General features: G+C 38.8%; 1 protein-coding gene across 11 annotated transcripts in view; it reads left to right on the top strand.

Moving 5' to 3' along the window:
• The window catches only part of ACSL4 (acyl-CoA synthetase long chain family member 4), a 91923-nt gene that overhangs the window by 22926 nt on the left and 52439 nt on the right, over positions 1–16558 (top strand). For 7 of the 11 annotated variants that reach the window (NM_004458.3, NM_001318510.2, NM_001437253.1 and 4 more), the window contains exon 2: positions 14136–14188. The exons of the other annotated variants lie outside the window; for them this stretch is intronic. The gene's annotated coding sequence lies outside the window, so the exon portion shown is untranslated. The remainder of the gene's footprint in view (positions 1–14135; positions 14189–16558) is intronic. 11 annotated transcript variants of the gene reach the window in all.

The following is a 16558-nucleotide window of genomic DNA, read 5'->3' as shown; positions in this document are numbered from 1 at the left end:
TTTACTTGGAAGTGTTTTTCCAGGAGTGAAGGTTGGCTTCTGCTAATATACCCATACATTCTTGCCTTGTTCTCTATGGGATGAAAGTTAGGATACAACTAGGGTCATCATTAGGATATTTTTGCAAAAGAAAGAGGGGTTTGATAATTATGCTGGGACAACCACAGGACAGTCCTCAGAAAGCTGGGAAATGTGTTCACCTACATTTTATTTTATTTTATTTTTTGAGACAGAGTTTCACTCTTGTTGCCCAGGCTGGAGTGCAATGGCGTGATCTTGGCTCACTGCAACCTCCGCCTCCCGGGTTCAAGCGATTCTCCTGCCTCAGCCTCCTGAGTAGAGGGGATTACAGGCATGCACCACCAGGCCCGGCTAATTTTGTGTTTTTAGTAGAGACGGGTTTTCTCCGTGTTGGTCAGGCTAGTCTTGAACTACCGACCTCCGTGATCCGCCTGCTGCAGCCTCCCAAAGTGCTGGGATTACAGGCGTGAGCCACCGCACCCGGCCTCGCCTTCATTTTAACCAGTTTATCTGGGGATCAGGTTTGTGACTCTAGCTTCCGAAGTACTGGCTCAACCCAGTTTAGCGAACCATCAGTGACAGAGAGATTTCCCTCTACTTTGGAGTAAAAGTTAATTTTTGAGAAAATATTCTGTTGTATTATTATACTGGAATTGTATGCGTAGCAGCTGTATTCTTTTTATACTTTTTAGCATTGTGAACTCCATGCTGCCAGACCCTGTTGGGGTTATTGCAGGACACATTTGTAGATGTGTGGGCCTTACAGGAAGTGAAATTACTTAATGATATTTTACCACTGCTCGAAACATTTCGAAAGAAAAACTTTGAGAGAAAGAAATGATTCAGCCTTTTCTGCCTCCTACTTTTTGAAGTCAGCTAGTACACATTTGTAATGTGATAGCACAGTTGATTGGAATGTCTGAAGCTAGACAGGTAAGATGATACCCTTTGAAGTTTGAGTATTTGGTCCCAGAACCAGGTTGTAAAGAAGAAAGTACTGATGGAAAGCTCACTTCTGAAATCCCCTCCTTTCACAGGCCCTCTGATCACCCGTGTGGAAAGTAGCCCTCTGGGTCTACTAATCACAGACATCAAAGGAATGATATTCATTTGGTTCCTTTTGCTTGAGTTACCTTCTCCTGGGGCAGGCTTAATTTCCTGTAGGGGACTGATTCTGGTCAGTTGAAAAACATTTTCATTATGGGGCAGAAGGTTGCAAGTATGGCATGGTACCTATTCTATCTCATGCAGATATAATCTGGCATTTGAGTTCCCATTTGTTTTAATAGGATAAGTAAGTAGAACTCTTAGCTTTAAAGAAATTTATACTTTCATCTGTGCAGAACCCCTCATGATTGTCTGGCTTTTTGATATTGTCTGTTAACTTGCTATTACAGGTTGAGTATCTCTTATCCAAAATGCCTGGGGCCAGAAGTGTTTGGATTTTGGAATTTTTCAGGTTTTGGAATATTTGCATTATATACTGACTGGTTGAGCATCCCTAATCCAAAAATCTGAAATACTCCAATGAGAATGTCCTTTGTGTGTCATGTTGGTGCTCACAACGTTTCAGATTTTGGAGCATTTCAGATTTTGGATTTTCAGATTAGGGAGACTCAGCTTGTACCAGTCAATTTTTGTTAGTCACGTTTTGACATAAGGGACACCAAAAGGATGCTTAGCTTCAGAAAACAGTTAACCATGGTAGTTATAGTAAGGAAGAAAACCCTCATTTTATTTAGCTTATAGGTTATATTACATGAGCAAAAGAAGAGTTTATTTTGCTTTGAGCCTAATTTAAAAACCGAAGATCTAACCTGCTTTCCTTAGTACAAATAAAGCCAACTTTTAGCTCCTTTTACAGTATTACTTTGCCACTTGAGTAGGGCTAAACACCTTTTGGACCATATTCATTGTTACTATCAATACATAGACACACATTAGAATTAATTGAAAGGCTGGTGCTATATTTTCTACTTTATTATTAAATGATAAAAGTAACATTCACTGTAGAAGTTTTAGAAAATGTAGGGAAATTATAAGGATAAAACTAAAAATAACCTCTACGTGGGTGCAGTGGCTCATGCCTGTAATCCCATTACTTTGGGAGGCTGAGGCAGATGGATCGCTTGAGCCCAGGAGTTGGAGACCAGCCTGGGCAATGTGGTGAAACCCTGTCTCTACCAAAAATACAAAAAATTAGCCTGATGTGGTGGCGCATGCCTGTAGTCCCAGCTACTCAGGAGGCTGAGGTGGAAGGATGGCTTGAGCCCAAGAGGTCGAGGCTGCAGTGAGCCAAGATTGCACCACTGGATTCCTGCCTGGGTAACCGAGCAAGACCTTGTCTCAATAAAAAAAAAAATCACCTGTAATTCTGCAACCTAGAGATTAACATTTTGGTTTATAGCCTACATAAATTTGAGGAAGTTGATCTTGAGTATGAAGTTTCATCTTAAACCAATTTCACTTCATATATCTTAAACATTTTCTCATACTCTTAAATACTCTGGCAATGCTGCATTTGATGGCCGCATAGTATTTGATCACATGGATACATTATTTTACCAATCACCTATTGGGAATTTGAAGTTGTTCCTATTTTTTTTTTCTGTTATCCATACCACCATGATGACTGTCCTCTATTTTTTTGTGTGAATCTCTAATGATTTCCTTTAGGATAGGGGTCCGCAACTCCCAGACCATGGACCGGTACTGGTCCATGGCCTGTTAGGAGCTGTGCTGCACAGCAGGAGGTGAGCGACAAGTGAGCATTTCTGCCTGAGCTCCGCCTCTGGTCTCTGGTGCCCGAAAGTTTGAGAACTGTGGCTTTAGGATATTCCCAGAAATAGAAAGTGAAATTACAAGTGCAGGAAGTATAACTGAAGGCCTGTTGTCACATATTACCAAGTTATTTTCTATTTAGCATGTACTAATTTCTACTTTTGTCAACAGTATATAAAGTGCCTTTTTGTATACTTTTGGCAGCACTGAGTAATTTCTTTATTCTTAATTGGCACTAGTTTTTATGGACCCCCAGTGCATTGCTATCTGTTTTAGTAAATAAAAGTTATTCATGGCAGGAATTAAAATAAGGATGCAATATTATAAGTAGTAGTACTGCAAGGAACTGGTAACTCCAGCTGGTACTTTGAGAATTGTCTAAACGGACCATATTTTAACTCTAAGGGTCTATGTTTCTAAAAATATATTTTTCCTTTCTGAAATACTTTTATCAGTCTCTAATGTAGAGGAAAGTGCTATTTTTTTCTCCTAAAGTTGTAATTCCATATGTACTTTCTGCTCATTACGTTAGGCATTTCTCTGTGTGTAAGACTTATGTTTTTGCCATTTTAAAAAACAAAAACAAAACATACATTCTGGCAAAAATTGTACAAATTTTGTGGGAAGTCTTGATTGTTACACAAGAGTACTTTCTGGTTAAGAACACTTAAGGTAACAATCACTTTCTTCAAGTATTGTTCAGGTCTGTAGTATTTTAATGAATGCCTTGTAAATTCAGATTCATCCATGTATCAACACACTTCTTGACTAAACTTGGAAAGGAGAGTTGTGGTAAGGTCAGTGTTTGCTGTTATGTAATCTGTTTGTCCAAAATATTTAAAAATCAGTATCGTAAGATTCTTAATTCAGAGTCAAGAATTATCAGTGTGACAGCAATTTTCATATGTTGAAAGTTTTTTCCCCAGTAGTTGTTTCATGATAATCAAGCTGTTTCTTAGGTGTGGACCTCAAAAAGTATTATCAGTTGATTTTTATGACTTTGAAAAATTCTAATTTAAATGCAATTGATATATTGAGAGCTCATAAACAGAATGTGCTTTCCCTGTTGATACTGCTGCTAATTTAATTCTAGGTAACTGAAGGAAAAGGAATGGTGTGCATTCTTGTTGTTTTTTCATACTCTCACATTCATCTTTTATCTAGTCTCAAGATGATCTTAAGAGTAAAGCTGTAATTATAACTGATTAGAAAGAATTTCCTAACTTTAGTATAGAGGGAAGCACATAGGGTGCTTTCTTAATGTTCTAGAAAGCAGACCCTATTTTAGCTTCTTAGTCATGGAGTGGGGGGAACTGTTTCTTTCTTTTTAAAATTATTTTACAGTTATCATTGTATTCAATTTTTAAAATTCTTACAACCTCTGTGAAGAAGGTAAAGAGTAGATGAATAAATTTTAATGTCAACCTAGAACTTCACTCCATAATTTATTTGTGTTATAGTAAGTTATTTTAAGCTAGTATATACCCCTATTCAAAAGTCAAGATTTAAACATTGTTGCTAAAAAGTAAATGGGGCCTGGCGCCATGGCTTACGCCTGTAATCCTAGCACTTTGGGAGGCTGAGACGGGTGGATCACCTGAGGTCGGGAGTTTGAGACCAGCCTGACCAACATGGAGAAACCCCGTCTCTACTAAAAATACAAAATTAGCCAGGCATGGTGGTGCATGCCTGTAATCCTAGCTACACGGGAGGCTGAGGCAGGAGAATCGCTTGAACCCGGGAGGTGGAGGTTGTGGTGAGCCAAGATCGTGCCATTGCACTCCAGCCTGGGCAACAAAAGCAAAACTCCACCTCTCAAAGGAACTTTCTGGCATTTAAAAAAGCTTTCCTTGGATCAGATATTGAAAATCCCTCTAGTGTTTTAATAGCTTCTATTTGTCACTAAATATGAAGGATGGGTGGGTTTGTGGTTAAAAAAATAAATAGCAACAATTTCCCAAAAGGTACATATTTAAACTGAATTTCAAAGCCGAGATAAAAAGTATGGTTCAGAAACCGGAGATTTCAGTTAAGCTTCAGGTAAAGGAAGCAAATAGGCAGAATAAACCACACAGACAAAATGTCAAACCAGGCAATGTTTGTCTTTGAGCATCTTCCATTTCTTATTTTAGTAGGCATCTCACTGGTTCCCTGTGTCTTTTATCCTGCTCTCTGTCACTGGTAGCAGAACAAGCTAAACTTCCTTAAGCAAAACTGTCCTAAGAAATGTACACTGCAGAGACTTCCTAAAGAGAGATGGATGGATTCATTTGGAAACATCTGTGTGCACACTCTAATTTGTATTCATTTTTCCCTAGAGAATGATTACACCTATATAATTAAAAAGTTGCCTTTGAAAACTATTGGCACCAAAAATGGACAATAATTAATGACCCATCCCTCATTTTTTAAAACCATTTTATTGTGGTAGGATTGACATACAAAAAGCTGTAAAGATGGAATGTATACAACTCAATGAGTTCGGAGAGAATCATCACCACAATCTATGCCATAAACCCATCCATCACTTCCAAAAGTTTCCTCCTGCCCTCTTATGTATTGTTATTTGTGTGTGTGTGTGTGTGTGTGAGAGAGAGAGAGATGAAAACACTTAAAATAAGATATACCCTATTAGCAAATTTTAAAATACACAATGCAGTATTGTTAACTATAGGCACCATGCTGTACAGTAGATCTCTGGGACTTCTTCATCTTTCATAACTGAAACTTTGTATCATTTGACTAATACCATCCTGTTTCTCCCTCTACCCAGCCCCTGGTCACCACCATTCTGCTCTCTGCTTCTATGAGTTTGACTCTTTTTAGTTTCCTTTTATAAATGGTGTAATGTAGTATTTGTCCTTCTGTGTCTAGCTTATTTCACTTAGCATAGTGTCCTCCAGGTTTGCCCAAGAGAAGTGTTTCTTTTTTAGAGACAAGCTCATTATCTTTACTTTAAAGCCTATTTTGGTTCTGAGAGTCTACAACTTGGTATGTAAGGAGTGAAATTTGTGTGCTTGCAGTTCATTAGGCACTTGATAGATCTACATCGTATTTATATATCTTCATACTAATCATGGGGGAGAATTTATGTAACAAAATGAATGATAATAGAATTATTAGCTAAGATTGGACTATTTCTCTTGGCATTCAAACTAGACTCTGTCTTTGAGTTTAGATGAAGAGAATGGGTCTAAGATAAATAAGCATTGCTTATTTGCTGTAATGTTTACCTTATTTAAGTAAGAAAAATAAAAATAAACATTGCTTCAAAATGGATAAAGTGAAAACTATCAGAATACTGCATATTTATCTATGCAAGGAAATATGACTGTTGTCATGGATATGCAGTTTGGTATCTCAAGCAAGAAGGTATCAGAGAATGTGAATATGGCATAGTTTATAAGATCTGTGACCTAATAATCATACTTCTAAGAAATGCGAGGGAATAATTTTATAGTCTTGAAGTGGGAAAATGACCCAGAAGCCATAAAGGAGATATATTTTACTACTTAAAACTAAAAAACAAACAGCCAACAACAACAAAAAAACCCCACAATATTTATCTAATATGTCTAAGAAATTCAGACATAGTGAATTTTTTTTTTTTTATTTGAGATGGAGTCTCGCTCTGCAGTGGTGCAATCTCGGCTCACTGCAACCTCCACCTCCCAGATTCAACCAATTCTCCTGCCTCAGCCTCCCGAATAGCTGGGATTACAGGTGCCTGCCACCACACCTGGCTAATGTTTGTATTTTTGCTAGAGACAGGGTTTCACCATGTTGGCCAGGCTGACCTCGAACTCCTGACCTCAAGTGTTCTGCCCACCTCGACCTCCCAAAGTGCTGGGATTACAGGCGTGAGCCACCATACCCAGCCAGTGAAATATTTTCATATGTTCATTAGCTAATAGTGAAAAGCAAAAAATTAAGACAGTGTTTTTGGTATCTATCAAACAGTTCAATCCAGTATTGGAGGAGATATGGGGAAATGGGCATATTAATATACTGCCGGTGGGAATATGAAACTATATTCTTTTTTAGAGGGCATTTTTACTTTTTTAAAAAAAATAAATTTTAGACTCACAATAGAGTTGCAAAAATCATACACCATTTCCATGGGTCCTTTACCCAATTTCCCCTAATGTTAACATGTTACACGATTATAGTACAATTATAAAAACTAAAAATGTTCCTAATCTGGGTTAATCTAATGTTTTTTCATGATTTGATTGAGATTATGCAATTTGGGCAAGAATACCACAAAAATGATGCTGTGTTCTTCTCAGTGAATCAAACTAGGGCTTACATGATATAGATGTACCTTATACTGGTGATGGTAACTCTGATCACCTAGTTAAGATGGTATCAGCTGTGTTTTTCCACAGTAATGTTATCATTTTCCCCTTTGCAATGAAGTAATATCCACACACTTTTTATTAATACATATTTGGGGGAGATACTTTGAGACAATGTAATGTCCAGTTTCAGCTTTTGCTCACCAGCATTAGCATTCACTGATGGATTTTGCCTGTAGTAATTATTCCTGTGGTGTTCTAATGGAGATTTCTATTTCCTTTATTCCTTCTACATTTATTAGAATTCTTCTATGAGGAAGATTAGTCTCTTCTCCCTCATTTACTTATTTGATTGTTCATTTATATTAGTATGGACTCGTGGGTATTATTTTACTCTGTGGGATATAATCTAGTATTATTGTTATTTGTTGCCCAGATTGTGTTAATACCAGCTGTGGCCATTGGGAACTCTTTTTGGGTTGGCCCCTGTGTCCTTTTCACATGTCTCCATTTAAAAAAATTCAGCACTTTTTTATTCCTTGGCACCAGATAACACTAACCTCATCTTGAATATTTCCTGCCTCAGCCCCGTAATCAACTGCTCCAAAGAGCTCTGGTTCTTTTTCTTGGAGAATAGTATTTGGAACAAGATCTGTGTGCTGGATATGCTCATTGCTATTGGGGTATCACTGCTTCTAGGCCTGGAGGGCAATTTTTAATAGACTAAATATAAAATGATCATACCCTTTTGAATCAGCAGTTCTGCTAGATATAAATCCTCTAGAATCACTAGCATAAGTATATTGATAGGGATGTTCATTCTGATCTTTCAAATGATCAGAAATTAGAAAAACCCCAAATGTCTACCAACAGAGAATATGGGTTAACTTAATTGTGATATGGTCATGCAATCAATGGAATGCCTTGGAATGGTTAAAAAATAGATCTATGTATTCTGCCATGGAAAGACATGTAAGAGAGTCAGTTTGTTTTTTGTTTTTGTTTTTGTTTTTTTTGAGACAGAGGTTTGCCATTGTCGCCCAGGCTGGAGTGCAATGATGCAATCTTGGCTCACTGCAACCTCCGCCTCCCGGGTTTGAGTGATTCTCCTGCTTCAGCCTCCCGAGTAGCTGGGATTACAGGCGTCCACCACCACGCTTGACTGATTTTGTTTTTGTATTTTTAGTAGAGATGGGGTTTCACCATGTTGGCCAGGCTGGTCTCGAACTCCTGACCTCAGGTGATCCACCCACCTCGGCCTCCCAAAGTGTTGGGATTACAGGCGTGAGCCACCACGCCTGGCCCAGTTTTTTTTTTTTTTTTTTAAAGCAAGTTGCAGACATGTATAGATAGTATGATTCAATTGTTGTTTAAAAATTGTATGTGTTAGCCAGGCGGAGTGGCTCACGCCTGTAATCCCAGCACTTTGGGAGGCCGAGGTGGGCGAATCACAAGGTCAGGAGATCGAAACCACCCTGGCTAACACAGTGAAACCCCATCTCTACTAAAAATACACAAAATTAGCTAGGCGTGGTGGTGGGTGCCTGTAGTCCCAGCTACTCGGGAGGCTGAGGCAGGAGAATGGTGTGAACCGTGAGGCGGAGGTTGCAGTGAGCCGAGATCATGCCACTGCACTCCAGCCTGGGCGACAGAGCGAGACTCCATCTAAAAAAAAAAAAAAAAGAAAAAGAAGAAGAAGAAAAATTCTATGTGTTGGCCAGGCGAGGTGGCTCATGCCTGTAATCCCAGCATTTTGGGAGGCCGAGGTGGGTGGTTCACTTGAGGTCAGGAGTTCAAGACCAGCTTGTCCAATATGGTGAAACCCTGTCTTTACTCAAAATACAAAAATTAGCGGCGTGCTGTGGTGCACACCTGTAGTCCCAGCTACTCAGAAGGCTGAGGCAGGAGAATCGCTTGAACCTGGGAAGTGGAAGTTGCAGTGAGCCGAGATCATGCCACTGCATTCCAGTCTGGGTGACAGAGTGAGACTCCATCATCTCAAAAAAAAAAAATGTATGTGTGTATTAGAATATGCTTAGAAAAAAGGCTTCAAAGTTACCCACCAAATGTAAAAAGCTGTTATTTCTAGGTGGTTGGATAAAAAGGACACTTTCACTTCATTTAATATATTTTGTAATGTTTGAATATTTTTATTTTATTGTTTGTTTGCTTATTTATTTATTTATTTTGAGATGGAGTCTTGCTCTATCAGCCAGGCTGGAGTGCAGTGGTGCGATCTCGGCTCACGGCAGCCTCTGCCTCCCGGGTTCAAGTGATTCTCCTGCCTCAGCCTCCTGAGTAGCTGGGACTGCAGGTGTGCGCCACCACACCTGGCTAATTTTTGTATTTTTAGTAGAGACAGGGTTTCACCATGTTGGTCAGGCTGGTCTCGAACTCCTGACCTCATGATCCGCCCGCCTCAGCCTCCCAAAGTGCTGGGATTATAGGCATGAGCCACCGTGCCCAGCCCTGAATATTTTTAAAAAACTTTTTAAAAAAGTTATCTAACTTTTCCATGAAGCAACATATCTAGTTCATTCTGTACATTGCACAGGCTAGACTTTGGGTAGTTGTACTTATGTTATAACATTTATTTAATATGTTTTAATATTTACGAATCAAGTGACTCAATCTTATGACCACTTAGTTCTCCTGTGCTACACATTCACATATATTCTTTTTTTTTTTTTTTTATGAGACAGAGTCTCACTCTGTCACCCAGGCTGGAGTGCAGTGATGCAATCGTGGCTCACTGCAGCCTCCGTCTCCCGGTTTCAAGTAATTCTCATGTCTCAGCCTTCCGAGTAGCTGGGGTTACAGGCGTGCACCGTGGTGCCCGGCTAATTTATTTTTGTTATTTCTAGTGGAGAGGTGGTTTTTCACCATGTTGGCCAGGCTGGTCTTGAACTCCTGACCTCAGGTGATCTGCCCGCTTTGGCCTCCCAGAGTGCTTGGATTGCAGGCGTGAGCCACCGTGCCCGACTACATTCACATATATTCTTTTTTTTTTTTTTTTTTTTTTTTGAGACGGAGTCTCACTCAGTCGCCCAGGCTGGAGTGCAGTGGTGTGATCTCAGCTCACTGCAACCTCTGCCTCCCGGGTTCAAGTAGTTCTCCTGCCTCAGCCTCCTGAGTAGCTAGGATTACAGGCATCCACCACCACGCCTGGCTAATTTTTGTATTTTTAGTAGCGATAGGGTTTCACCATGTTGGTCAGGCTGTTCTCGACCTTGTGATCTGCCCCCCTCAGCCTCCGATAGTGCTGGGATTACAGGCGTGAGCCACTGCGTCTGGCTCACATATATTCTTAAGGGGAAAAGATTCTCCCACAGCTTAGCGTGTGAGTGATACCTTCCAGTAGTTTGACTGGCTTACGACAGTTTTTTAGTACTGTTTTTAATGAGACATTTTCTTGTTCCTTTATGATTTTTAAAATAAATTTTAAGTATACAATTTTTATTTTTGAAAATTTTGGAAGACACTAAATCAGCAGGAAAAAAACCCAAAATATATGCAAATATTAAAACAATTCACCTCTAATCCTACCACCCAGCAATAACTGTTAGTATTTGAAGTACATTTTGCTAATTTTTCTATGAATATGTAACACTCAAATATATGTACATATTTAGAATGCAGTCATACATACTGTTTTTGACCTGTATTTCTTGATAACAACATTTCTAAACATTGAAATGTATTTTAGTATGGCAGTTTTAATCTACTATTAACCAATATGTGATTTATGTATACTTATCTAAAATAAGACCTATCAAGGACCATTGTTTAGGGAATTGTTTTGAAAAGGACTTGGCCAGAATTTACTTTTAGATTTGAACATTAAATGCTAAAAACTTTCTTAATGTTTTTCTTTTTGTTTTTGAGACCGAGTCTCACTCTATCACCCAGGCTGGAGTGCGGTGGCATGATCTTGACTCCCGGGTTCAAGTGATTCTCCTGCCGCAGCCTCCCCCGTAGCTGGGTTAATAGGCATGCACCACCACACCCAGCTAATTTTTGTATTTTTAGTAGAGATGGGGTTTCGCCATGTTGGCCACGCTGGTCTCAAACTCTTGAACTCAGGTCATCTGCTCACCTCAGCCTCCCAAAGTACTGGGATAATAGGCATGAGCCACCGCACCTGGCCAAAAGCTTTCTTAATATTTTTCCACTGTTTTCTGAAACATTCTATTTTAAACTTATTAAGATCGATTTTTGAGACATTAAGTCCAGGACGATGATTCTTCGTGCTTGAAACATTTCCAACAGATGCTATCACAAGTTTAGTATGGACTTTACTTGTGGAAGAATGTTTTCAAAATATTGCTTAACAGACCAACTTATTTGCAGAGAGGGCTAGAGCCAAACACATTAATGATTTGTTTTAAAGTCTGTCCCCAAATATGAGGGTTGTCTGAAATTGAATGACACTGCCTTGTATTCGTATCAGTTTTTACTTTTTTTATATCACTTTTTGCTCTCCTATTAGCTGCGTGGACTTTGTTTTGCTCACTGGCATTTGGTGAGTTGGGCTTTCTCAGTGCTGCCTTCTTTTCTAATTGTAAGATGATAAACCCTTGATGCTGTATTATCTCTTTTTTCTTTTTTTAATGCCACCAGGTTACTGTTAGGTCAAAACAAACAATATTATATGCTTCAGTCTGTTAAAAATTTGCTAGGCTAACACTTTCTAACTTTCTTATATTAGAAAAAAACCTTGCATATATCTGAAGTGAAAGAGTCTAAAGTTTGTTTTACAATTTTAGCTAAATCATCCCAATTCCTGATCATCTATAAATGCAACCCACATGGTGGTAATCTGCTTAGTTTTTTATATTAAATTATTTCTTCAATTTATTTTAATATAATGACTTTAACAGGGAGATGCTATTTTGTAGGAGGAGACTAGGAGAGAAGAGAGTGCAGGATCAGTTTTTCTGTTGTGTAGAAGTAAATTAGGCTAGGTTACAAAATGTGATTTGGTTTCCTTTTCTTTGCTGGGTAGCTGCTACTTTCATTTTTTTGTGATGAAAGAAATGGCTTTTAAGGTGATAGGCATTGAGAAAAATTACTTCCTTCACATTAGAGAACCTCTGAGAGTTGCTTCTCCTGCTCAGCCAATTTGGGGCTACAAGAATGGAGACGAGTAGAAGGTTTAAGCTGGGGCTCTCATCCAGCTTGGAGAATTCCCTGACACTCTCTAGTACCAAGGGTCAAGAGTTGACTATCCTTTGCAAATATTTATTTATGGAGTTATTTTCCAAATTAAGCAAACTAGCGGATAGTTTTGTATTTTCCCCTATCCCTCTCCCCTGCAACTTCTACCTTTAGATCTTTAGATGATTTTATAGAAGGATGGGTTTTTTTTTTTGGTCATTTTTAAGTTACTGGAATTATCTATGGGGGAAATGTGTACGTTTTTATATAGAAATATGAAGATTTTCTTCTCCAGCATTCTCCTTGTGAGCTCTTTGGATCTTATTTTAATATCTATATGCAAGTTCCCCGCGCCCCCCCCCCCATGTCAATAGCAAATGTTAGCCTTCTGGAAGAAAAATAAGAACATATGAAATAACCTGACTTCTGTTTATAAGTAATCTTAACCATTTGTGTTAAGACATATACTGATACTGTCCCTGGTAACCCCTCAACAAAAGTAGATTGTGGATATTAACATAAAGTTGAAAGTAGTTCACTATTATTAACTAGCCTTTGTTAGTAATAGGCTTGGATATAAATCATTCTTTCCTTCATCTCTTTAATGGTAGCAAAGAGAAAATTAACTGTATGAATTAACACCAGCTAGTTAGTGTGATGATTACAGTTATGTGGATGTTCGTTTATATGACTTCCATGGGGGCGTCTAGACTAAAAAAAACCAACAAAACAAAAAACTCGAAGGGTTATTCTCATAATCATATGCAAGTAGTAGTGAATACTGCTGGATGGAATAAAGCCTCAGTTCTTCAGAATATAGCATCATGCCCAGGGGGCCCCAGCTCTGTAGAAAGCAATATCAAATTACTGAAAGGCCTTATTTTATTATTCCAAGTATTCAGATGGTAACTAGTTTACTCCTGCATTGTCCAAAATAGGTCAAACCCTCAACCCTAAACTGACAAACATTTCTGGTGTATATATTTTTTTCTTTTTCTTTTTTCTTTTCTTTTTTTCTTTCTTGTTTTTTTAGACAGGGTCTCACTCTGGTTGCACAGGCTGGAGTGCAGTGGTGCAATCTTGGCTCATTGCAGCCTTGACCTCCCAGACTCTGGTGATCCTCTCACTTCAGCCTCCTGAGTAGTTGGGACTACAGGCATGCACCACCATGTTCGGCTAATTTTTTGTATTTTTAGTAGAGATGGGGTTTTGCCATTTTTCCTAGACTGGTTTTGAACTCCTGGATTCAAGGTATCTGCCTGCCTTGGTCTCCCAGGGTGCTGGGATTACAGGCATGAGTCACCATTACCTGGTCCTTTTGGTGTATATCTTGAAAAATGTCACAAAAATGATGTGTTTACAAATTGAAAAAAGATGGAAATATATTTAGGTTTCTACCTAGACCAGTGTCATATTTGTATTTGGGAAGAAACCTCGTGTTGTTTCAAGGAACTTACTCGTTTTTGGTTTTGATGGGAGGATAGATGCCTACAGTCATCTGTGTGTGGGGATGGCTGTCTTGTGTGACTGACTAGTTTGCTGTGGTCAGACATTGTCTCTGTGTCTGAACATGGCTTTGGTCCTGACCATGGGGGATTCAGAGATACAAATAAAACAGTTAAGAACATGGCTCTTGCTTCTTGTCATTTTTCCATAGAGTTTCAACTACTGTCACTTAGATTCTGGCTCAGTTACTTTCTGAGATCCTAAGAGCACTAATTCTAGTCAGACACTCATCTCTAGTCATTTCTTGCTTTTCCTTTAGTACCTGGCTTATGAGCTAAGGTGCACAGATAATGTGAACAAGCACTCGATATTTCTTTTAAAGGGGCACTTTTCTTATGTCACTGTACTCATAAATGCTGTCTCTTACTGCAGATTGAAATCACAGAAGATATTCGTGTTCTTCTTAAGAGAAAAAGAGGACATTTGTAAGTATTTGTCCTTTAGAAATTCTAAATGTGTAATTTTATTAGCTTTTTGAGAAAATTAAGTTCCCACACTAACAGGCATCTTGACCCTTTTTATAGAGGAAAAACTCTACCAATATTTATGATTGTGTTTAAAAAGGCAGTATTTTATAGAGCAAAATAGGAAAACATTTTACCCTGTGCAGCTTCTAAAATTTAAACCATTTGCCACTCATTTGTAAAAGAACAAGTGGTAATTAAAATTCAAACAACGTCTTTCTATTTGAGTCATACCCAAAACTGGAGTCAGGGATTGGAGTTCTGGTTCTGACTACTGAGGCTTATAGAATATGTGTCTTTGGTAAACTACTTAGTCTCTCATTATCTCAGTTTCCTTATCTTTAAAATGGGTTTAACAGTAAGTGCACAATCAGGGGTTCATTATTATTATTATTATTGTTGTTGTTGAGACAGAGTCTCGCTCTGTCTTCCAGGCTTGAGTGTAGTGGCGCCATCTCAGCTCACTGCAACCTCCACCTCCGCCTCCCGCTCCTGAGTAGTTGGGATTACAGGCACGTGCCACCGCGCCCAGCTATTTTTTTGTATTTTTAGTAGAGACGGGGTTTCATCATGTTGCCCAGGCTGGTCTTGAACTCCTGGCCTCAAGTTATTCTCCCGCCTCGGCCTTCCAAAGTGCTGGATTACAGGCGTGAGCCACCGCGCCCGTCCTCAGTGGTTCATTATTATTGATGGAGTTAAATCCATAGCAGTTTATGCTTGCCCCGATACGTTGAAGCTTATTCTTTTTTTTTTTTGCCCCAAGATGGAGTCTTGCTCTGTCACCCAGACTGGAGTGCAGTGGTGTGATCTCGGCTCACTGCAACCTCTGCCTCCCGGGTTTAAGCAATTCTCCTGCCTTAGCCTCCTGAATAGCTGGGATTATAGGTGCCCGCCATGGCGCCTGGCTAACTTTTGTATTTTTACTAGAGAAGGGGTTTCACCATGTTGGCCAGGCTGGTCTCAAACTCCTGACCTCGTGATTCTCCCACCTTGGCCTCCCAAAGTGCTGGGATTACAGGCATGAGCCACCATACCAGCCTGAAGCTTATTCTTTGAGAGACAGCCACAATGTATACTTGTGCCGAAGCTTATTGAAGAATAAGCTTCAATGTATCGGGGCAAGTATACATTGAGGCTGTCTCTCAAACTGATTTGCGTGTATTTCTGATCTTCATAAATTTTTAAGTATATATTTCATTGAGGCATCTATTCTAGACTACAATATGGAGTAAAAGAAATACAACAGAGCACCTAAAATTAAAATCATAGTGTTTGAGGCTTGGACTTTGAAATTTACCTAGTCCTATAGTCCCCGATTGTTGATTTTTAGACCAGTGCTGGTTAGTGAAAACGTTTTTACTGGTCCATGGTGAAGTGAGAAAAATAAGGACAGCAGATCATGAGTTTTTAAAAGCTAAACATTTTCAGTTTAAAGGATTGCTTCTTATAGAATATATCTTTCTAATTTAGGGGAATTAAACATGTTATTTATCTCATGAAATTATGGTGATAGTAAATGGTAGGGCTTTAAAAAAATTCATGCCTGGCAAAACAACAACAACAACTTGGTAGCTCTGTGTCATTTCCCCCCACTAATTCTTTCTTTTACATTTTTTGCTGTTTTGTGATATCTTAAAATATGAACCCAACTTTCTCATTTTACAGATGAGGAAACAGACATTGAGAGGTTAATTTGTTCCAGGTCTTACCACTCAGCAGCTTGTGAACCAGGACTAAAACCCTATATCTGATACTGTCTCTCTAGAACTTCTGGTCTTCTGAAAATTGCTTTCATTATAATAGGTTATAAATTTGAAACTGAAGATATAGTAGTTCTTATGTGCTAATAACTATTTTTGATTTCCAAGTATAAAGAAATTCAAAAGGCCATGTTTTTGTATAGCTAAATGCTGAAGTCCACTGATTAGCCTGCATTAGAAGAATCTTAAACATGGCCAAAGATTTGTATCAGCAGATCAGAATTAGCTGTCACCGAATTCAGCTACTTAGGTGTTACACGCTACCCAGTGGCTGACAAAGAAGTTAAAATATCAGCAAAATTATTATTTCCTTTTGGAAGTTGACAGACTATACTGCCACTGTGAAGAGTGGTAGTATTCAAACTTCTATAGTTAATTTAACTACAGAAAGTACTGTTTTCTCTCTCATAGATGCACACCTACACACACACACATACATATTTATAGCAATCAATCTGCAGCCCATCTAGATTTGGAAGGGAAAAAACTACCAAGGTGAAGAGTAGGAGTTACCAGAAGCACTGGCATGAACATATCTGGCCAGTTGTGTTCAGGAGATTGCAGATAGTAC

Source organism: Homo sapiens, chromosome X (assembly GCF_000001405.40).
Source record: "Homo sapiens chromosome X, GRCh38.p14 Primary Assembly".
NCBI classification, from domain to species: domain Eukaryota; kingdom Metazoa; phylum Chordata; class Mammalia; order Primates; family Hominidae; genus Homo; species Homo sapiens.
The sequence above is the reverse complement of the archived record's forward strand: the minus strand, read 5'-3'. Positions and strand labels throughout refer to the sequence as shown.